The sequence below is a fragment of the Homo sapiens genome, chromosome 2, assembly GCF_000001405.40.
Source record: "Homo sapiens chromosome 2, GRCh38.p14 Primary Assembly".
Taxonomy (NCBI): Eukaryota; Metazoa; Chordata; class Mammalia; order Primates; family Hominidae; genus Homo; species Homo sapiens.
The window spans coordinates 13,309,381-13,332,962 of NC_000002.12; the positions used below are offsets into that span (position 1 = coordinate 13,309,381).

General features: G+C 37.0%; 1 long non-coding RNA gene across 1 annotated transcript in view; it reads left to right on the forward strand.

Annotated features, from left to right (window-relative positions):
* LOC105373436 (uncharacterized) overlaps positions 1–22,303 on the forward strand; it is a 330,895-nt gene extending 308,592 nt beyond the window's left edge. Inside the window, exon 5 of the long non-coding RNA XR_001739293.2 lies at positions 20,455–22,303. This is a non-coding gene — a long non-coding RNA (uncharacterized LOC105373436). The remainder of the gene's footprint in view (positions 1–20,454) is intronic.
* The last annotated feature ends 1,279 nt before the right edge of the window (positions 22,304–23,582 follow it).

A 23,582-nucleotide genomic window follows, 5' to 3' on the forward strand; every position in this document is an offset into this window, starting at 1 on the left:
GTCTATCATTAATGGGCATTTTGGGTTGATTCCACGTCTTCGCTATTGTGAATAGTGCTGCAATGAACATATGCATGCATGTATCTTTATAATAGAATGATTCGTTTGGGTATATATCCAGTAATGGGATTGCTGGGTCAAATGGTATTTCTGGTTCTAAATCTTTGAGGAATCACCACACTGTCCTCCACAATGGTTGAACTAATTTACATTCCCACCAACAGAGTAAAAGGATTTCTATTTCTCTGCTACCTTGCCAGCATTGTTGTTTCTTGATTTTTAATAATCGCCATTCTGACTGGTGTGAGATGGTATCTCATTGTGGTTTTGATTTGCATTTCTCTAATGATCAGTGATGCTGAGCGTTTTCATAGTTTTTTTGGCCACATGTATGTCTTTTTTTGAGAAATATCTGTTCATGTCCTTTGCCTACTTTTTGATGGGGTTGTTTTTTTTTTTTTGTAAATTTGCTTAAGTTCCTTGTAGATTCTGGATACTAAACCTCTGTCAGGTGGGCAGATTGCAAAATTTTCTCCCATTCTGTAGGTTACCTGTTTACTCTGTGATAGTTTGTTTTGCTGTGCAGAAGCTCTTTAATTTAACTAGATCCTGTTTGTCAATTGTGACTTTTGTTGCAATTTGTTTTGGCGATTTCATCATTAAAATCTTTGCCCGTGTCTGTGTCCTGAATGGTATTGCCTAGATTTTCTTCTAGGTTTTTTATAGTTTTGGGTTTTACATTTAAGTCTTTATGCCATCTTAAGTTGATTTTTGTATAATGTGTAAGGAAGGGGACCAGTTTCAGTTTTCTGCATATAGCTAGCCAGTTCTTCCAGCATAATTTATTAAATAGGGAATCCTTTCTCCATTGCTTGTTTTTGTCAGGTTTGTCAAAGATCAGATGGTTTTAGCTGTGAGGTTTTATTTCTCAGTTCTTTATTTTATTCCATTGGTCTATGTGCCTGTTTTTGTACCAGTATCGTGCTGCTTTGATTACTGTAGGCTTGTAGTATGGTTTCAGTTCAGGTAGCGTGATATCTCCAGCTTTGTTCTTTTTGCTTAGGATTGCCTTGGCTATGCAAGCTGATTTTTGGTTCCGTATGAATTTTAAAATAGTTTTTTCTAATTCTGTGAAGAATTTCAAAGGTCGTTAAATGGGAATAGATTATAAATTGCTTTGAATCTATAAATTGCTTTGGGCAGTATGGCTATTTTCACGATATTGATTCCTCCTCTCCATGAGCATGGAATGTTGTTACTTCTGCTTGTGTCCTGATTTTCTTGAGCAGTGGTTTGTAGTTCTCCTTGAAAAGGTCCTTCACTTCCCTTGTTAGCTGTATTTCTACGTATTTTATTCTGTTTGTAGCAATTGTGAATGGGAGTTCATTCCTGATTTGACTCTCTGTCTGTTGTTGGTGTATAGAAATGTTTGTGATTTCTGCACATTGATGTTGTATCCTGAGACTTTGCTAAAGTTGCTTATCAGCTTAAGAATCTTTTGGGCTGAGTTGATGTGGTTTTCTAGATATAGGATCATGTCATCTGCAAACAAAGACAATTTGACTTCCTCTCTTCCTATTTGAGGATGCTTTATTTCTCTTGCCTCATTGCCCTCGCTAGAACTTGCAATACCATGGTGAATAAAAGTGGTGAGAGTGCATTCTTGCCTTGTGCCAGTTTTCAAGAGGAATGATTCCAGCTATTGCCCATTCAGTGTGATATTGGCTATGGGTTTGTCATAAATCGCTCTTATTATTTTCAGGTATGTTTCTTCAATACATAGTTTATTGAGAGTTTTTAACATGAAGGGATGTTGAATTTTATTGAAGGCCTTTTCTGTGTCTATTGAGATAATCATGTGGTTTTTGTCTTTAGTTCCGTTTGGGATGAATTATGTTTATTGACTTTGTGTATGTTAAACCAGCCTTGCATCCCAGGGATGAAGCTGACTTGAGCGTGGTGGATAGCTTTTTGATGTTCTGTTGGATTCAGTTTATCAGTATCTCATTGAGGATTGTTGGCATTGATCTTCATCAGGGATATTGGCCCGAAGTTTTCTTTTTTTGTTGTATCTCTGTCAGGTTTTGGTATCAGGATGATGCTGGCCTTACAAAATTAGGGAGGAGTCCCTCTTTTTCAATTGTTTGAAATAGTTTCAGAAGAAATGCTACCAGCTCCTGTTTGCATCTCTGGTAGAATTCAGCTGTAAATCCATCTGGACCTGGGTTTTTTTTGTGGTTGGTAGACTATTTATTACTGCCTCAATTTCAGAACTTGTTATCAGTCTATTCAGGGATTCAACTTCTACCTGGTTCAGCCTTGAGAGGTTGTAAGTGTCCAGGAATTTATCCATTTCTTCTGGATTTTCCAGTTTATTTGCATAGAGGTGTTTATAGTATTATCTGATGATTGTTCATTTCTGTGGGGTCAGTGGTGGTATACCCCTTGTCATTTCTGATTGTGTTTATTTGAATCTTCTCTCTTTTCTTCTTTATTAATCTAGCTAGCAGTTTATTGATTTTATCGATATATTTTTTTAAATGGCTCCTGGATTGGCTGATTTTTTGAATGGTTTTTCATGTTTCTATGTCTTTCAGTTCTACTCTGAGCTTTGTTATTTCTTGTCTTCTACTAGCTCTGTGGTTTGTTTGCTTTGGTTCTCCAGTTCTTTTAGTTATGATGTTAGGGTGATGATTTGAGGTCTTTCTAGCTTTTTGATGTGGGCATTTAGTGTTATAAATTTCCCTCTTAACACTGCTTTAGATGCATCCCAGAGTTTCTGGTATGTTGTCTGTTTATTCTCATTGGTTTCAAAAAACTTCTTGATTTCTGCCTTACTTCCATTATTTATCCAGAAGTCATTGAAGAACAGGTTGTTCAATTTCCATGCAGTTGTGTGGTTTTGAGTGGGTTTCTTAATCTTGAGTTCTAATTTAATTGTGCTGTGATCTGAGAGACTGTTATGATTTTAATTCTTTTGCATTTGGTGAGGAGTGTTTTACTTCCACTTATGTGATCAATTTTAGAGTGTCATGTGGTGCCAAGAAAAATGTAAATTCTGTTGTTTTGGGGTGGAGAGTTCTGTAGATATCTATCAGGTTTACTTGGTCCAGGGCTGTGTTCAAGTCCTGAATATCTTTCTTAATTTTCTGTCTCAATGATCTGTGTAATACTGACAGTGGGGTGTTAAAGTTTCCTACTATTATTGTGTGTGAGTCGAAGTCTCTTTGTAGGTCTTTAAGAACTCATGTGATGAATCTGGATGCTCCTGTATTGGGTGAATATATATTTAGGATAGTTAGCTGTTCTTGTTGAATTGAAATCTTTACCATTATGTAATGCCCTTCTTTGTCTTTTTTGACTTTTGTTAGTTTTAAGTCTATTTTGTCAGAAACTAAGATTGCAACCCTTGCTTTTTTCTGCTTTCCATCTTCCATTTTCCTCCATCTCTTTATTTTGAATCTATGTGTTTCTTTGCACATGAGATGTGTCTCTTGAATATAGCACACCAATAAGACTTGTCTTACTATCCAGCTTGCCATTCTGTGACTTTTCATTGGGGCATTTAGCCCATTGACATTTAAGGTTAATATTGTTAAGTGTGAATTTGATCATGTCATCATGATGCTGGCTTGTTAATTTTGCAGACTTGTTAATGTAGTTGCTTTATAGTGTCATTTGTCTGTGTACTTTAGTGTGGTTTTGTAGTGGCTGGTAATGTTTTTTCTTTATATGTTTCGTGATTCCTTCAGGAGCTCTTGCAAGGCAGGCCTGGTGGTGACAAAATCCCTTAGCATTTGCTTGTCTGAGAAGGATTTTATTTCTCCTTCATGTATGAAGCTTAGCTTGCTCTGACATAAAATTCTGGTTTTGAAATTCTTTTCTTCGAGAATGTTGAATATTGGCCCCAGATCTCTTCTGGCTTATAGGGTTTCTGCAGAGATGTCTGCTGTTAGTCTGATGGGCTTCCCTTTGTTGGTGAGCAGGTTTTTTTTCTGACAGTGCTGAGCATTTTTCCTTCATTTTGACCTTGGAGAATCTGAAGATTATGTGTTTTGGGGCAGATCTTCTCGTAGAGTGTCTTTTTGGGATTCTCGGGATTTCCTGAATTTAAATGTTGGCCTATCTTGCTAGGTTGGGGAAGTTCTCCTGGATGGTATCCTGAAACGTGTTTTCCAACTTGATTCCATTCTCTCTGTTTCATTCAGGCACTCCAATCAGTCATAGTTTCAGTCTTTTTACATAGTCCTAAGTTCTCAGATGTTTTATTTGTTCATTTTCATTCTTTATTCTCAAATCTTGTCTACCTGCCTGATTTCAGCAAGATAGTCTTCAAGCTCTGATATTCTCTCTTTCCCTTGGTTGATTTGGCTATTGATACTTGTGATTGCATCATGAAGGTCTCATGCTGTGCTTTTCAGCTCCATCAGGTCATTTATGTTCCTCTCTAAACAGGTTATTCTAATTAACAGCTCCTGTAATCTTTTATCATGGTTCTTAGCTTCTTAGCATTTGGTTAGAACATAATCCTTTAGCTCAGTGAAGTTCATTATTACCTACTTCCCAAAGCATACTTCTGTCAGTTCATCCATCTCAGCTTTAGACATGTTCTGTGCCCTTGCTGGAGAAGTGTTGTGATCATTTAGGGTAGAAGAAGCATTCTGGCATTTGGAATTTTCAGCGTTCCTATCTTGGTCTTTCCTTATCTTCATGGATTTATCTACCTCTGATCTTTGAGGCTGTTGACCCTTGGATGAGGCTTTTATGAGGTCTTTTTTGTTGATATTGTTATTGTTGTTGGTTTCTATTTTTTTTTTTTTAATTCTAAGAGTCAGGCCTCTCTTCTGCAGGTCTGCTGCAGTTTGCTAGGGTTCCACTCCTGACCTTGTTCACCTGGGTGTCACCAGTGGAGGTTGCAGAACAGCAAAGACTGCTGCCTTTCCTTTCTCCAGAAGCTTCATTCCAGAGGGGCACTGACCTGATGCCAGCCAAAACTCTCCTGTATGAGGTGTCTGATGCACCCTTTTAAAAGGTCACACCTAGTCAGGAGACATGGGATCAGGGACCCACTTACAGAAGCAGTCTGACTGTCCTTCAGCATAGCTGGTGCTCTGTGCTGGGGGAATCCCCCTCATCTGGATCACCCATACTCTTCATAGCCAGCAGACAGGAAAGATAAAGTCTGCTGAATGTGAGACCATGGCCACCCACACACCAACCCCCAGGGTTCTGTCCCAGGTAGATGAGAGTTCTGTCTGCAAGCCACTAGCTGGAGTTGCTGGGATTTCTGTAGAGAGGCCCTGCCTTGTGAGGAGGGATGGATTCGGGTTCCACCTAAACAAGCAGTCTGGCCACAATCTGCCACAGCCACTGTGCTGTGCTGTGCTCTGCTGTGGTGAGTACCATCCAGTTTAAACCTCCTGGTCTCCCCAGCACTGGCTGGGCGAAAACCACCAACTAGAGTCACAGTACTGGCCGTTGCCCCTCTTCCCTGCCCCAGGAACTCGGTAATCTTAGCGGACTCCAGTCTGCTGTGTTGGCCAGCAGGGATTCCAAGCCAGTGGGTCTTAGCTTGTGCGGTTCTGTGGGAGTAGAAACCATTGAGCGAGGCCATTTGACTCCCTGGCTTCAGCCCTCTTTCCACGGGAGTGGACAATTCTCCTGTCTCACTGGAGTTCCAGGTGCCGCCAGAATATGTAAAAACTGCTGCAGCTCATGCCTGCCTGAAAGATCAGAGCAGCTGCCATGGGCCTGCCTAGTTTTGTGCTTGAGATCCAAGGCCCTGGTGGTGTAGGCTCATGAGTGAATCTCCTGATCTGCGGATTGCAAAAATCCATGTGAAAAGAGTAGTACCCCAGGAGGGTAGCACAGTCTCTCAACGCCTCTCTTGGCTGGGGGAGGGAGGTCCCTTTGTCCCATGCAGCTCCCCAGTGAACCCTCACCCCAACCTGCTTTTCCTTGCTCTCCATTGGTCACGCCAACTGCCTAGTCAGTTCCAATGAGATGAACTTGGTACCTCATTTGGAAATGCAGAAATCACCCGCCTTTTGCATTTGTCTTAGAGACTGCAAACTGGAGCTATTTTTGCTCACACATCTTGACCCCTGCCCCCTTCCTTCTGTATTTTATCTGGTAAAATTACTTACAACTTATGTTCTCCATGGGACACTTTCAGATGCAAAGTTAATGAATTAGCCAACATTAATTTATTCTCTTCTCCCTTCCAGCAAACAAAATATTCTTATGATTCTTTTCATAGCCTGGTGGTGGTATTGTTGTTTATGTACGTGTCTATGTCTTCACTTACTTTGTGAACCACTGAAAGGTAAGTGCTATGTCCTGTTCATCCTTATTCCTCTTCCAAAGGAGCAGTTTCCCTTCTCAAACACAACACTGTACCTATCCATAAAAGTGACTCTCAAATAATAAATTTACATGCATTCCTTTGGTGTTCCAGAGTGAATTATTGAAAAAAAAATGGTTTTTGAGTACTGATGTTCTACGCTTCTAAAAAACTTTGTAAATTTTAATTTGCAAAACACACGCCATGTGTCGTAATTTGTACTACAAAGGGATTCTTTCCATCATAACAAATATTCATCCCTTTATAAAACTGTTTCTTGGTTGAATTATAATCGTTGATTTATTAAAATTCAATGTATCCTCACTTTCTAACTTCAGAGCAAAGTTAAATACAGCTAAGTGCCTTCCTTTGCTTAAAGATAATTTATTTGTAGCAGTCACACAAAAAAAATCAAGTTATTTTTCTATCCAAAAAAACTCAAATGGTGTCTCTAAAGATTTTCAGAGCAAAGAAAAAAATATTAGGATGCTTCTCTAGATGAGACCATATATATATATATATATATATATATATATATATATATGCACACATTATATATATGTGTATATATAATGTGTATATATGTGTATATATGTGTGTATACATATATATATAATGTGTGTGTGTGTGTATATATATATATATATATATATACATGTATCTCTTCTAAAATTTTTAAGAAAAAGAAAAGTTTAGGGTAGGTTATTCCTCTGATATAACTGCTTATCAGTCCACCTGACACAGTTCTTTTTCTTTTTATCTGCTACAGACTATAGGTATTTTTTCAAATCCGGAAAGTTATTAAGCAATACCCTGCACAGAACTTTCCAATGGCTTCCTATTGCCTATTCTAAACTTCTCAATATTGTATAGCAGGAAGATTATGTAATTTGTTCTGAAAACTAGAACATTTTGAGAATGAAAGGAACAATAAAAGTAATTATATGATCTACTTCCTGATGGACAAATTGTTGTTACTCTATTGGTAAACCTAAAAATAGCTATATTTAAATTAAATTTTTGAAACAAATTTAAATCAATAAAAATGTAGCCACAGTAAAGCAAGTTAAAAAATACACATCATATTGTCTATTAAGTAACATAAAAGTAATCTTGGAACATATTTAAATATATTTTAATTGTTTTCTTAGGTATATCTTTCATTATTAATTTCATGTTATTGGTATTTTATGAACAAGGTACATTTTTCTATTTAGTTTTGGTACTATAACCATGTTCATAAAATATCTTGCAATCTCTATGAAAAATGGTTGCACTTAATAATTAAAAATAATTACTGTTTTTCCTTCTTTAGTTTTCTATCTAGACTATATTTCTAATTGAGAAAATATTTTCTATATAAGTGCTGATATAATTGGCAAGATCAAAGCAAACTGTGTCAAATAAAAAATATCCTCAATTCTTTTTTTTTTTGTAAGAAATATGAAACTGGTTCATAATGTGTTCATAAAAACTATCCTGTTGGTTATAATTTCTTGTGTTTCTTTGAAAAATATTTTTACAAGACAATGTCAAATTATTTGTGTCTATGTTTTTAAATATTTCATTAAATTAGATATTGAAAAATTGTTTTTTCAATTTCATTTAATACCTATACAGAATATTCATTTTAAATTTAACTATTAAAAATAAGAGTTTTAGTAGACAATTCCTTCCAAAAATCTGTACATATAAAACTTTAATTATAAAATTTCATAATTAAAATCTCTGTGTCATTTTTGGCTCACAAAATTTAATTTTTTCAACTTATTACTTGATTTGTAGAGAGACTTTTCAATGTCTTCTTGCTTACAAGCTTTATTTTCTGTAATTACAATTTGCTAAAAGCATAAAAATTGAGGTTTTCTGGTTCTTAAAGTTGGTACAATTGCTTTTTCATTAAAAAAAAAAAACAGCTCAACTCTGTTTGTCTCTGCTTGATTTTTCGGTGTTCATGAAGCCTTTTCTCCTTGCTGGGGCTGTTTTAAATTAGCTCCCTTATCTGTATCCCCACCCAAATCTCATCTTGAATTGTAATCCGAATTGTAATCTCTACATGTTGAAGGAGGGAACTGGTGGGAGGTGATTGGATCATGGGGAAGTTTCCTCCATGCTGTTTCTCATGATAGTGAGTGAGTTCTCAGGAGATCTGGTACCTTAAAAGTGTTTGGCAGCTTCCTTTGTCCTCTCTCTCTCTTGCCTGCAGCCATGTAAGATGTCCCTTGCTTCCCCTCGCCTTCAGCCATAACTGTAAGTTTCCTGAGGGCTCCTCAGCCATGGGGAACTGTGAGTCAATTAAACCTCTTTTCTTTATAGATTACCCAGTTTGGGGCAGTTCCTTATAGCAGTGTGAAAGTGAAGTAATACACTCCCTTAACTTTTTTAAGACTTAGATAGTAATAGTAAAAATAGAGAATACGAATGTTTTGATTTCTACGATTAGTGCAGCAAAAGTAACTAGACAGCATTAACTACTGCCTGCCTCCTCTCATAAACTTAAATGTAATTTAGGGTTTTTTTCTCTCCTCCTGAAAGTGCATAATTTTCTCAATAAGTAAATGAATACAATTAGATACCAGAACTAGGTTACACAAAGGTATCAAATTTTTAAGTCTAAGTAATACCAGAGCTTGGATGACTTTTTTTTTTTTTAAATAGAGACAGGATCTCACTCTGTTGCCCAGGCTGAAGTGCAGTGGCATGATCATAGCTCACTGTAGCCTCGAACTCCTGGGCTGAAGTGATCCTCCTGCCTCAGTCTCTCGAGTAGCTAGGGCTATAGGCACCAGCTTCCCTGCCAGACAAGTTTTTTATTTTTCATTATTTTTGTAGAGGAAGGGTCTCTGTGTGTTGCCCAGACTGATCTCAAACTCCTGGTCTCAAGTCATCCTGCCATGGTGGCCTTTCAAAGTGCTGGGATTACAGTCATTAGCCACCATGCTTGTCTCATTGAAATATTTTGAATGCACAAAGCTCATGATGAGAATTCATAATTTCATATTATGCTTAAAGCTGAAATTAATCTTAATATCATCCAAACCCATATTTTATAGATAAAAACATTGAGGATAAGAATTTGAATGACTTAAATGAGTTGATTGCCTTCCAACAACAAGATAAGGATATTTTAAATGCATGTATTAGTATAATAATAGTGAGAGACGGTGTCATAAAACAGAAGCAGCCTTTGATGAAATACAGAAATATATTCAGAAGTATTCACATTTAGTCCACTTATTATTACTTCTTTGGCCTTTGGCCAGTCATTTAGGACACAATTTTCTAATAAAAATATTGGTATTAAATACTAAATAAATATTGGTCTCATGCCCGATACATAATTTGGATCAAATGACTGAAATATTTATTACTCAACTAATGTTTGTAGTATTTAGTGGGCACTAGATTTTAGAGTTGATGTAGAGATGAGATTAATAAAATATACTTTAATGCTAAAGTATTATTCTTGCATATTCATGAAAAAGTGCTTGCCATTTAAGCCAGTATTAGGATAATGAGGAAATGCCAACCTTCATGGAGAACCAGGATAAGAGGGTTCGATGAAATCTCTGAGTAGCTAAAGGGCTTATAGTTTTTAATAAATTCAAATAAGTTCAGTATGTGTAGAAAACATTGAGAAGAAGGATAAGGAGTGGAAGATGTTCTGTTGTTATTGCAGCAAAAAGCAGAACATGTAAGACTTCTTAGGTGAAAGAGCTGAGATGTATTCCAAGTTGACATCAGATATAAGGTCCATTAAGTGCCTCGTCTCAGAGACTGTATCTATGACAACTTTCTTCTCAATTCCACTTCCTCCACTCATTTTTTATGGGCTCTGTCTGAGCCTTGACATCACTTAAACTGATCAGAGTCTAAAGGCATAAAGTCTCATTGATCCCTTCTTCTATGGCCTTTACTCAACTGCAAAAACCATGCCTGCTTTTCAGTGTTATCAAGAACTTTTGCCCTATTTTTTTTCAATTTCTTTTGCTTTACTTCTGTTCCCATTCTACTGAAATTACAGGAAATATTAAAAATGTTACCTGCTCTGACTGCATATCAGAGTTACTTACTTTTTAAAAAAAATTTAATAATTTTATGAGACGTTTCATTCCTGGAATAAGGACCCTCCTTCCATAAAGTTGATTAGGAATAGCTTGTCTATTTTAAAAGAAGTTTAGGAGTAGCTTATCTTTTTTTAAAAAAATAGACAATTTTAAAATTTTAAAATTCACCTATAAGTGAATTTTAGGTGATTTTGATAAAAATCTCAGTATTTTTACTGACTTATCACCCTTGTCTTATACTTCTTTCTCATTTTACCTTGTTATTTCCCCTCTAGCCAAGACACTAAAAAATAAAAAACTTACCCCTGGGTGCAGTGGCTCATGCCTGTAATCCCAGCACTTTGGGAGGCTGGTGCAGGTGGATTACCTGAGTTCCAGAGATTGAGACCAGCCTGACCAACATGGTGAAACCCCGTCGCTACTAAAAAATACAAAAATTAGTCAGGTATGGTGGTGTGCATCTGTAATCCCAGCTACTTGGGAGGCTGAGGCGGGACAATCATTTGAACCTGGGAGGTGGAGGCTGGAGTACAGTGGCAGAGATTGAAGTGAGCTGAGATCATGCCACTGCACTCCAACCTAGGTGACAGAGAAAGACCCTGTCTCAACAAAACAAAACAAAACAAATAAAAAATAAAAAACAAACCAAAAAACTCCTACCCCTGAGTGCTAGAAATCTCCAGAAAAAATAAATCATATAACCACACCATTTGTTTTTATTAAAATTCTATACTCTTTACTCAAACATTGACTTCCAATTTCCACAAACAAATTATTTCTGTTTTCTCATAAATTTGCTCTTACGTTTTCTCAATCAGTTTCTTCAAGTATGTAATCTCTACAAATGGCCTACCCAACATTCTTCCTTTGTTTAATCAGGGTTTTTTTCCTCTAATTTCTAAGCAAGGATTTGCGTATGCTTCCTTTTATTCTAGCAGTAGGAGAAAGATGCATTCTTGCGTGTAGGACCTGTGCTCTGGGTCTCCTCCTATCCCATCTCCACAAGGAACTTACGATTAGTAGCTCATCTGCTGTATTTGCATCTGTCTTCTACTTCTCGGCATGCAGAGATTCCTTCTTATAGGACTTAAGTAGATCATTTCTTCTTAAAACTTGGCCAATATTAACATGATGGCCACAACTATCAGGTTGGTGCAGAAGCAATTGTGACTGTTGCCATTTGACATTTTGACATTTTCATGTCAAAAACTGCGAATACTTTTGCACCAACCCAATACTTTTACCCAGTGTCCCACTCCAGCTTCCATCCTCTCTGTTCTTCACGAATTTTTAAATTTCCAGTAAAATTATTCTGTTCAACTACCCCAATACACTTTTTGGTCTCAAACCCTCAGAGTGGCATTTCACCCTGCTGTTTGCTATGCTCCCTTATAAATCTCATTTGGCTCCCCATTACACCACTGTCTCCTGGCCTTTCATTTCAAATTCCTTTGTCATTTACCTATTGTTTATTCTACTAATTTTTTAAATCAGTGTTTCTCAGAATACAAATACAGGCTCTCTTCTCATCTTTCTTTGTTTCTCTTTCGATCACACTGTAATCCAGTTTACTGAGCCTTCATCAAATAAGAGGATGCAATTTCTCTAAAGTTAGTGATATTCATATCTTATTTTTACATGTCTTACTTTGACAGTAACTAGCAGGCTTTCTAATAAATTGTGAGGACTAGCTCTGATTTTTTTGCATTATCTTGCCCAAATTCCTGTCTAAGGGGTCTGGGGAGTCATGCCCTACAAACCATACATTCTTACCGATGAGTTTTATTTAACCTTATATATTGTTACTTACTTTTCAACCTACCTCTGGCATAACATTATGAGACAAGGAAAAAAATCAAAATACTTTACCCCAAAACATGCTTTGTCATATCTTGAAATGGCCCTGCAAAGCTATCCTTTGTGGGAGAAAGTGTGCATCTGTAAAGAATCTCTATTAACATAGCTAGAACTTTTTCTTCCAAGCCTTCTCAATCATGAAAAGATTAAGTAAGAGTCTAGCATATTTTTAAATGTCTGAATAGGAAATATTTGTCGTCTGTTGTCTCTAAGGGCAGCCACTATATGACTTCAAAAGAACCTTGATAGTTGTAAGTGTTCAATAAATGTCGGTTTAGTAAATACTTCAATAAATAAGTGGACATTTGCTTTGAATACAGTGAAGCAACTTTGTTTACTATTTCTTTGTACTTTTCTTAAACTCTTTGACTGTCAGTTTCCCCACCTGTAAAATTTCCTCAGATCTTTAATTCTTAAAGGTTTCTCATGAAGTTTTGATAAAATATTTTGTGTCATATTTGTGCCTGGCCTAGATCAAATGAAGAGCTGATTCTGTTAAGTTTGCACAGTTATTTTACTCAGAACTGAGTAGCAACACAGTCCAGGAATGTTCAGCTTCATGGACATCAGGAGAAAAGGCAACTAGGGAGGTTGAACAGTCTCTAAAGTGAAAGACAGGGTGGAAACTATATTGGAGATGTTAATCTTTCACACAGTAAAGATACTTGCAGAAGCACCAAATTCCTCATATAACATTAGAGAACCATCATTTGTTTTGGACACGTATTGAACAGCTTTTCTTATAAAACCTAGCCTGTTTTATGGAGCCATTTGGAAAGGACATTAACTATTGATGAGATATTTAGAGCAGCAAGAAGGTGAATAAGGTAAGATATTGGTGACAGGAGGTAGCAGCTGAGTACAATGGTTTTCTCCCGCAAGCAATAAACAAACCCAATCATAGAACAACTTAGAAATCCAGATTGGTAGGAACCAGACTCAATTTTAAGGGAAAAAATTTCTTAGCGGACTGAGCTGCTGCTCATTGTATGTTTTCCAGTGGAGCAGTAGAGATAAGAGAGGAAATAGCACTGCCCTGGAAAGTGAGGAAATAGCCTATGATTTCTCTAACTTCCAGTATATAAAGTACTAAGATTGAACCATATAACTCCAAATATCCCTTCGGGCTCTGAAATCCCAGAATCCTATCACTGCAATTAACCCCAAAGTGGAACTCTTGATAAGACAGGCATGGCACTCTCCTTCACACCTACGTGACTACCAAATAAATCAATTAGACATCAAAAAATGTATGTTTTACTTAATATTAAGGATTCCTGAGAATCTTATTATAAATGCCCAAATATGTGGCTCCTAAGTTATACCCAGACCAGGTAACTTAATATATGAGCAATTTCTTCCTTAAATTTCTGATAACATATGCATTAATTTTTCCAGCTTTAACTTCTTTGATGGTTACTAAATGTTACATAGTTTATGTGTATACTCATGAGCAATTCCTTGTCTTTTTTTGTAAAGTATCTTAATGTTTTTCTTTCTTTTTGTTGTTGTTATTTTTGTTTTTTCCTAAAAATGGGAGTCTGGCTTTTTCAACCTAGTTTCCAAAGAGAAGAACTCAGGTAATTTGATCAGTGATAATTATTAAATGAAATATTTTTAGTCCCAAGGGAAAACACACTCTAATGCAGAATCCAAACAACTAGCATCTTTCTCTCAGTTTTGGAGAGATGGGATCTATCTAAAGGACACCTCGGAAGTCTATACCAGAACTTCAGTGAGCACGAAACCTAGGGCAGCATCCTACTGGATGCTGCACAAGGGCGGGGGCAGAGCCTTGTCATCTGCACTCTTCAGTTCATCCTATAGATCCTCTTTATCATAGGTGCCAATGAAATGTTGAATGTGTATGTCCAAAAGACAGCCATCTCTTTAGGTAGATTTAATGTAGAAGACAGCTTTCCAGAGTAAGCAAGTCTAGAATCTTTGAGTCAGTATCCTAATTTGAGTCCAAAGGCTGTGAGCTTCTTTAGAACCAGGAAGAGCTAACATTCCAGTTTGAAGGGCATCCTGCAGACTTTTCTCTTACTCAAAGGATGATCACTTTTTTATTCTATGCAGGTCTTCAACTGATTAGACAAGGCTTATTCACATTAGGGAAGGCAATCTACTTTATCCAGTCTGTTGATTTAAATGCTAATTTCATCTAAAAACCTCCTCACAGAAACACCTGGGATAATGTTTGACCCAATATCTAGAATCCCGTGGCTCAGTCAAGTTGACACATGAAATTAAGCATCACAGAGGCTAACAAACAAAGAGCCAGAGAGGGAAGTGGAAAAGAGTAACAAGCCGTGACAAAAAATTAGTTGGAGGCAAGGCTAGGCCATGAATCTTAGGTTTTTATCTCTTAGTCCTAGGCAATTTGTATTACCCCATGATGCATTTTTTTGAGTTTGCTGTTGCCCAGTCTAAGATAAAGTGGAGATGAAAAAGAATTTAAAAGTTGGATATGGCAAATATATAATAAGAAATTTAACATGCTTCTGTAGGTTTTTATTAGTAAAAAAAAAAAAAAAGCAAAAAAATTGTCCACGTTTGCTTCATGTTCTTGAAATATTCTTAAAGCTGCTTTCTTTGTTTTTGGCTTTCATTTGTGTTAACTGTCAGGAATCATTAGCATCAAGTATGGAAAGGATAATTACTGAGCAATAAATTTTTATTTATGTGCAAGGTGTAGTTTTTGTTCTGTTTTTTCATTTTCTCCTAAACCAGCTAGCTACGTAAACAATTACTTAAGAAAGGAGTCTTCAAATTAATTTGAATCATGCCAGACTTGGCCTTTAAGAGGATTACTTTAATGACTATACTTTATAATTTCTCATAGCATCTATAGAAATACTGAGGTTGAAACCTTTTATATAGGATATTTTTAGGAATTTGACTTGTGTGTGTGTTTGCACAATATGGCTTTTATAATAGAGAATGCAATTAATATCTGATTAATTAGTAATCAAATACCAAATGAATATTTTTATTCATAGATATTGTATGGAAAAGTCTGCACCTCATTCCAAAATCATGTTGAAGTGGAAACTTTTTCAACAAACATATTTCATAGTGTAGCATGGCATAGCTTCTGACATCTGTACTCTTAGCCCATTTAGAAAGTATGAAAACTCAAGATCCTTCACATCTTTTTGCTCCACTTATGGCAGAAAGACAAGAAATAATGGTTGTTACAGAAAACATTGTCCTGATAAAAATTTACGTGACTTTTTGGAAAAAGAATCAGCACCGATCAGGCTATAAAGTTTCTTAAAGATAAATAAGGCATGAAATAAACACAAATTTTTAAACATATAACTATAACATATAACATATATCTAGGTATGCTAGATATTTTTAATGCTAGTTTTTATTATTTAATACTTATGACAAGCCACTCAAGGTAGATATTACTGTCTTCATCCATCATTATAAAAAATTAAACTTCTGAGAAATTTGGTGATGACTTGCACAATATAGTGCTAGTAACTCACAGAGAAAGAATACCAAGAAAATAATGATTGGTTCTAAAACATATTTTTGGCAGATACATAGATATATATGTATGATATGTCTATATATATTTATTATATATCTATATATTGATGTTTATGTTCATTGAGACGAGATCTTACTCTCTTGCTCTGGCAGGAGTGCAATGGCACAATCATGATCACAGCTCACTTCAGCCTTTACCTTCCGGGCTCAGGCAATCATTCCACTTTAACCCACCAAGTAGCTGTGACTGCAGGCATGCACCGCCACACCCAGCTAACTTTTATTATTATCATTTTTGTGTGTGTGGAGATGGGGTCTCACTATGTTTCCCAGGCACTTCTCAAACTCCTGGGCTCAAGCAATTCTTTCTCCCTGGTCTCCCAAAGTGCTGTGATTACAAGTGTGAGCCACCATGCCGAGCCTTACCATTGATATCCTTTTAATATGAGATAATCGGAGCTTGTGCGGAAAGCTTCATTACAGTACCAGGGGAATGACTGTATCACAGAACACATAAAAGTGAACTAGATCTACAATGATGGTGTCTAGAGAGAGTTTCTGGATTAGAGATAATAGATGCCAGGTGGCAAATATAGACTGTAGGTCAATGAAAGCATTTCTGTGTCCCCAGGGAAGAGTTTGTCTTTGCTTGTCAGGACCTTTAAACCTACAAAGGCCAATGTTGTAAAGATGAGACACACAACATGTACAAGATTGGGTGTGTTGTTTCCAATTACATAAGAACACCTCTGCTCTTATTCCCTGGGAACATTCATTCCACCTAGCAGGGTGCACTAATGTATACATTTATTTGATTCGGGGTGTAGTAACTATATTCTGGAAGATATTTCCCTTCCTCATAAGTATTGTTTATATAGCAAGGCTTTACTTGAGTCTTCAAGAGGCTGGTCCAGTGTTCTACCAAACAATGAGTTTCCGGGTAGTATGATATGTAAGATAACTAGTAGACTTCAAGTTATGGGCCCACTTCCACATCTCTATTGCTATACAAGCATCCTTTGGCGTAATGTAATACTGTGTAGGCTCGCATACCATCACAACAAAACACTCTCTAAGTCATTAGACAGTGGTCCCTGAGGGTGAGAAAAGCAAAACAATGCCCAGAATATATGTATATTTATTTTAATATGAAATGCTGATTCCTTCGAGATAGGAGATGTCCTAGGTGAGTAACTTACCAACAAGAGCCTGTTGGTTTTCTTGAGAGATAATCCCATCTTGGGGACTCAAGGTTGCCCTCTGCTTACGGTAAATTATATAATTAATGACACCAGTGGCTAATCAGTCTTGGCAAGTGGGAGCTCATCCTTTTGAATCCATGGCTTCCATTACTGTTTGCATGGTCACTGAATACATAGTTCACTGTACCAACACTGGGGTGGCCATGGCAGAAACTGGCTGAAGTTCCATAGCTGTGCCATTTTATAATGTGGTTGCTAGCACCATCTGACGTTATTTCTCAGTAGGCCGCACAAAACCCAGCCTATGATGGACATCTAGGGCTGTATGGTTATTTGTTAACTCACGGTCAAGCTCTATGACTCCAGCAGATTTTATGACAGTATGCCAAGTGCTACTTTTTAAATATGATTAATTCTCTGATGTAGTTGGCAGTTTTGATCCAGAACCATAGTAGTGTGTATTTTTATTCTCCCATTGGTGGCTATAATGAACTCTTCAAAACATTTTTTTCCCACCAATGGTACTTGTAATATAATTCTAATATCATGGTGTTTGCTAGAGCTTATGATCCTAGCCTCAGGGCTACTTGTACTACAGCTTAGATATACTGCAAAATGGTTTTCCTCCTTTGGGCTCCTTTCAAAGCTTGCAAACTTTTGTGTTACCCAATATACAAATCAAAATGGCATTCCTGGGGTGAAATATAATATTCTACCTCAATACTAAAAGTAAGTTATTGGGAATTATGTCTCCTTCCTTCCTGGGGGATTTGCAAGGTATAATATGCTGTCATTTACTAGGGGAGTGGGATATTCTAGCATACCCTAAACCTCTGGTCCCTCTGAAAATTGTACTGATGTGGCAGGACCTTGAGTCTTAGTAGCATTTATTTCCTGTATTATGGAGGACAGATGTCCTATCAAAGTCTTCAACATGCTGGCCAATTCTTGCTCATTTGCTCTCAATACATAATGCACCACATTAAGGAACTACCAGATGGGGCCGATCTCTTCAGACTATTCACTGTAACAGAATGCAGGATCCCTAAAAGAACCCAGGGACAAAACTTGAAATGTATACCATTGTCAGTTCCATGTGAATGCAGATAGTTTCTAATCCTCTTCTAACGGGAATAGAAACCATTTGCCACATTACCTAAGGTCATATAATATCTTATCTAGCTAAGATACTCCATCTGGCGCAGCAGCAATAATAGAAACTACTAACAACTTCGTTAAGTGTGTAGGAATCCTCTGTTATCTTCCAGGTCCTATTTGTGTGTATGTGTGTGTGTGTGTGTGTATGTGTGGGGTTTGCTGAAATTCATAGAGATATTTAAGGAAACATATTCCTGCATCCTTCATGTCTCTATAAGTGATACTAATTTCCACCATTGAACCTGAGATGTGATATTGTTTTTGACTATTTATTTTGGCAGAAATGAGGTGGATAGATTTTAGAGGCTTCCACTTGACCTTCCCCAGTATGATAGCTATAAACCTGTAGGCTGAGGATATGCTTTGAGTCTTGAGCTAATAAACAAGTATGTCTATATGAAGACTACATAAATGATCAGAGTGGGTCCAGGATTCAACGGACCCAATTTCAGCCAGATACAGACTAGAATTCATTTATGGCTTGACTCCAAAATATGCTTAGTCTAATAGGGAGGCATGATAATATTTTGGTCCACTTCGTTCCTTTGTTCAATGGTGTTGAAAAGTTTGGAGTATTATCCTTTACTCAGTGGACAGTTGATCAACTAAATGGCCATAACCACCTGTAGGTAAAGACCAGGAAGCAATGTCATGCACCGTTGGAAGGTTGCAGGCTCTTTGGTCCCAGTGACCCAGGCTCTTCTTTAATCTATCAATTCTGAGTCTGAAAATTCACTCGGATTTTGACACTGAGAAAGAAATCTTTTTATCTGGGAGATGGCTTTCAGCCTCCTAATTATATACTTGATTTATTTGGATTATACCAATAGAGTAGTACCCTCTTGGCTGCCGATATATTTTACCCCTAAGGATGTCCTGTTTTATAACCATCTCTGTAACTTTTGCAGGCTGTTGAGCTGGTCCTCCATCTCTGCCACTCATTGCAATAATTGTTACCACTGGGCTTCTGATGGCTGAGTGAAATCTCCCGTCCTCTTCTGCTGTGGAGGTCCTGTCACACCCATTGCCAATGGTAGCCCAGTTCTTTGGCAACCTCTATCTGCTACAGTCAGCCCTGGCTCATAGAGCACAGCCTCCACTCAGCTCCTAAGTAGTGCTTTGTGCTTCTCACCAGTGAGTTCGTTCGATGTTGCTTTAGTAAATATTATATCCTTTGTGACCTCTCATGGAAGTTAGTCTTCTAGAGTTCTGCAAGCTGATATCCTATGTTCACTGCAGCATGTAACTTCTCTAAGCATTTCAGTCTGTTTTTTCTACCATCTGTCATTGCAACTCTGATGGCTCTACCACACTTAAAGTGTGCCATTGCTCTCTCCATGCTTCAATAATTCATCCTAACAGGGTATTTCACAATTTCCCAGAGTCTGTGTTAGAGTGTTAAATCCTGTGTCCTAAAAAAGTATTTTCAAGTCAGTAAACTCTCCCTTAGCTATTGTATGACATAATTCCCTCAAAATTCAGCACTATGCATACTTTCACAGCTTATTCTAGTATACGTTAATAGTCTATAGTCATTTTCTTTCCTTATCAGGCCCAGCATGTCTTCACCTGGGTTATGTTCTAATAGAATTCTTACTACTGGCCTCATGACCAGATAGTGAGGGAGTGGTATATCCTGAGAAAGGCCTAGTTGTCTTGTTGAATTGCGGGAAAGAGGCCTCTGCATTGTCTGCAAGCAAGAGGACTGTGCCACTGCTGTGCTCTCAGAAGGGTCCAGGGAAATCAGATTAAATTATTTTCTGAAGAGTCAACTCCGGTGTCTGCATTGCCTATGTCAGGACCCCATTCCATTCCAACCAGGTCCTTCGTCTTGGCATAAGACTTGTTTGTATTAAGAGTTTAAACATTTTAGGGGTTCAGTGCCTCTTAAAATTAACTCCTGGTTCTGGTCCTCAGCCTTCTCTGTCCTTTCACTGCAGGGAATGAAGGCCCATTTATATGCTACCAAGGAAGCCTTCTGAGTTTTAACATTTAGATTTGGATTTTCAAATAATCTATCTCAACCTTTTCATATTACCTTTTCCCTAGCAATAGCCATCTGATTCTGTTGTTCTTATAGTTAGTATTTTACTTAATGTTTCTCAAGTCATTGATACACTGCACCAGCCCATGAATTGGTTTTCACTGGTATATACCGTCTACCCCAACTACCAAGGGGGAGTTTCAGCAATTGTATTGTCACCTTGCCCAGGGCAATATATGCTTTAATTATCACCACTGATGGGGTCTTCTTTCCCAGTTAGGGGCAAGTTATCCAGTTCCAAATCCCATCCTAATGTCTTCTTTCTTATACCTTTTCTAGTTCCATCCATTGAAGTCTGAGTTCCGTGAGAAACAGAATCAGAACTCTTGCCAATTGGACTGCAAGATGTCTTCATCTACGTATGCTGTCATAAAAAACACTATGGACTATGGGGCAAGAAAAATGTAATATTTTTCTCTCACGGTTTTGGAGACTGGAAAGTTCAAGTGTCCAGCAGGGCTCATTTTGTGTTGGGGGCTCTCTTTCTGGCATGCAGATGCTTCCTTCTCGCTGTGTCCTCGCATGGTGGCAAGAGAGCAACCTCAGGTGTCTCTTTCTCTTTCAAAGGACACCAGTTCTCTCAGATCAGGGCTTCACCGTTATGATCTCTCTTAATCTTAATCTGTCCTTCAAGGTCATATTTCCAACATAGTCACACGGAGGCTTAGGGCTTTTAACATACACGTATGAATTTTGGGGGACACCATTCAGTCCATAGCAAAAGGCCAGCTTCTGATATTCCCACATCAGTCAGTGATTGGATATAGACCAATGGGAATGTGTGATAATCCTTGGATCATCTGAGGCAATCTCCAAAAAGGCTGAAAACCGAGGGCTGCCTACCGCTGGCACTCTGAGCAGCATACACCACATGCTCCATCAGTGTTACTGCCCTCAGCTGGGGAGAACCCCCCTCACACAAGTTGTGATACCTTCCTAGAGGCAGCCTGCATTCAATGACAGCTTGAGAGGGGCGTAAAGGGCCAGCCACTCTGACCTGATTCAGGACAATTCTGCAAGGCTCTCCAAGCTCCAGAATTCCTATACTGTTTCCTGAACCTTTGTTGTCACCGTTTCCCAAACTACTTTTCTTTTTGTCAATCCTGACCCTTTCCCTCTCCTACTACAGATGTTGGTCACTCGAATACTCGCAGCACACTTCTATGAATGAATCTTTGTCTCAGAGATTGCTCCCCAAGGAACCCAGTCAGTGCCATCGGAAATCAAAACATTTATTTATTTATTTTAAAAATATGTAAATAAAATGATTATTTTCACCATTTTAATGTACAAGTTAGTGATCATTACACATTTAATACTTGCATGAAAACATCACATTTACCGCATAAATATGGACAACTATTATGCATCTATTATAATTAAAAATAAAACATTTATAAATGAGAACATACTGGAAATGTGTAGTCATGATGGTGGCACCATCTTATGTTTTTAAATTAAGAATTTTGGAGCAGGAAATGTTTTCTGTCTGTACCTAGGTCTTTACATATCAGAAAATTTCATAAAAGACCAGAATAAAAGTAGCCATACAAAATACAACCACAAAATATGTATTAAATAGCCTACCAAAATGCCACAATGTATCATTATAATCACTATTAAATATTTATTATGCAACAGTATCATTTATGCAATAGGATTTTTTATAAACCAGCAATTTGCACTTTGAAATTCAATTTCAGTGAATCACAAGCTTAAAAATTGAAATTCAAATTAAGCATTTCCTTTATTCAAAGTCATATATCATATTGAAAATAATCTGTATTTTTATTGCAAAAGAACACTTTAAGAAAACCCTAGAGAATTGTTTGACCTAATAATTGTAATTGTGCATGTATTTCTTAATATTATTGATTAAATTTATATTTAGCCATTTCTCTCAGCTATATATAGTTACAGCAAAGCTATTTTGCATCAACATATATGTCTCCCTAACTATGATAAAGAATATGGTAATGATGTTGTAAATTGATTGGAAAAGATGATCTATCAATTCTTTTGCAGCTTCCGAATTCCAAAAGGTCATTGCATGCTATGTGTATATTTTTATTCTTTCAAATCCTTCCGATTACACAGAAATAATAAAATATTACCCACAGCAACCAAACTCAGTGTCGTTTACTTGAGACCCATATTCAGCTTTAACTCCCTTAGATTTTTCAGCAGGCAGTATTGGTCAATGCTTATAAACTCAGTCCCTGAATCACAAAGAGGTGTTGAATTCTGTCCTGACACTTGCTAATAACCTTCAGCAACTTAATGTCTCTAAGCCTCAGTTTCTTTCTGGCTAAATCAGGACTGATAATAATAATGTTTATACCAAGGAGTTATTTTTAGAATAAAATGAGGTAATGGATGTACAATGATGAAACCAGGGCCCATCATGTAGCAAGTGATCAGAAAAGGTGAGGTGCTGTTTTGTGTCTTTTACCTTCCTTTTATAAAATAGGTCTTGTGTACAAAAAGAGTTTTGGAAAGTATAAAGCTTTAGGTATAAATAGACGTTTATTAAGCTACTACCACCCAAGTCATACCTCCATGATTAATAATGAAAGGTAGGATCTGTCACATACCAAAGACTAATATAATTATATATTAATCATCTGCATGAGTCCTAAATTAGAGTGCATTTTCTCCTTTCTACAGATGAGAGATTTGAAAATCAGTGGTAAATGATTTGTGCAAAGTGAAACACTTGGCACGTAATGAAACTGAGCATCAGTTTTATGTTATTTTGAATTCAAAGTGTATAGTTACTTCCTTATACTATTTTAGCTTTCTAAAGCAAATGCTGAGAATAATAGCAATTAATTGCCCTACTTATTCTCTAAAATTTATTTCAGTGTCAACATTCAGATGCTTTAATTGGTGAATTTCTCATGCCTTAGACTCTCACTTAATCTCAGAAATTTCCACGAAGGGAAGTTATAGCACATTGGCTTTGTGAGTTTATATGTAATCCAATTTATAATGTCCATGTTCTTAATTTCAGAATTGCTGGCAATTTTATGGCCCATAATAAGGCACAAAACAGTCCACTGGCAAAATACCAGAAACAATGAAACCTGGGTATTTATGGACTAATTTTCTCACCAGAGATACTGTTATTTTGTGACTTGACATTATGGTTTGCTGTCAATATAGCAGATAAGAATTAGAGAAGCGGTCATTAAGAAAATGACAATTCCTCCCCTCCTTTATTTTCAAGATAAAGTCATTGACTAGGAAAGATAAAGAAATAATAAATCAGGTAGGTACATTTATAAAGGGCAGGCACAGGTAGGACAGTAAGAAAGAATTAACTTTTTGACACTACCTAGAAGCGAACTTACCGTGAGTCAGGCACGAGTGGATCCACAGCTTGCTTTAGACCATAAGGGCATCTG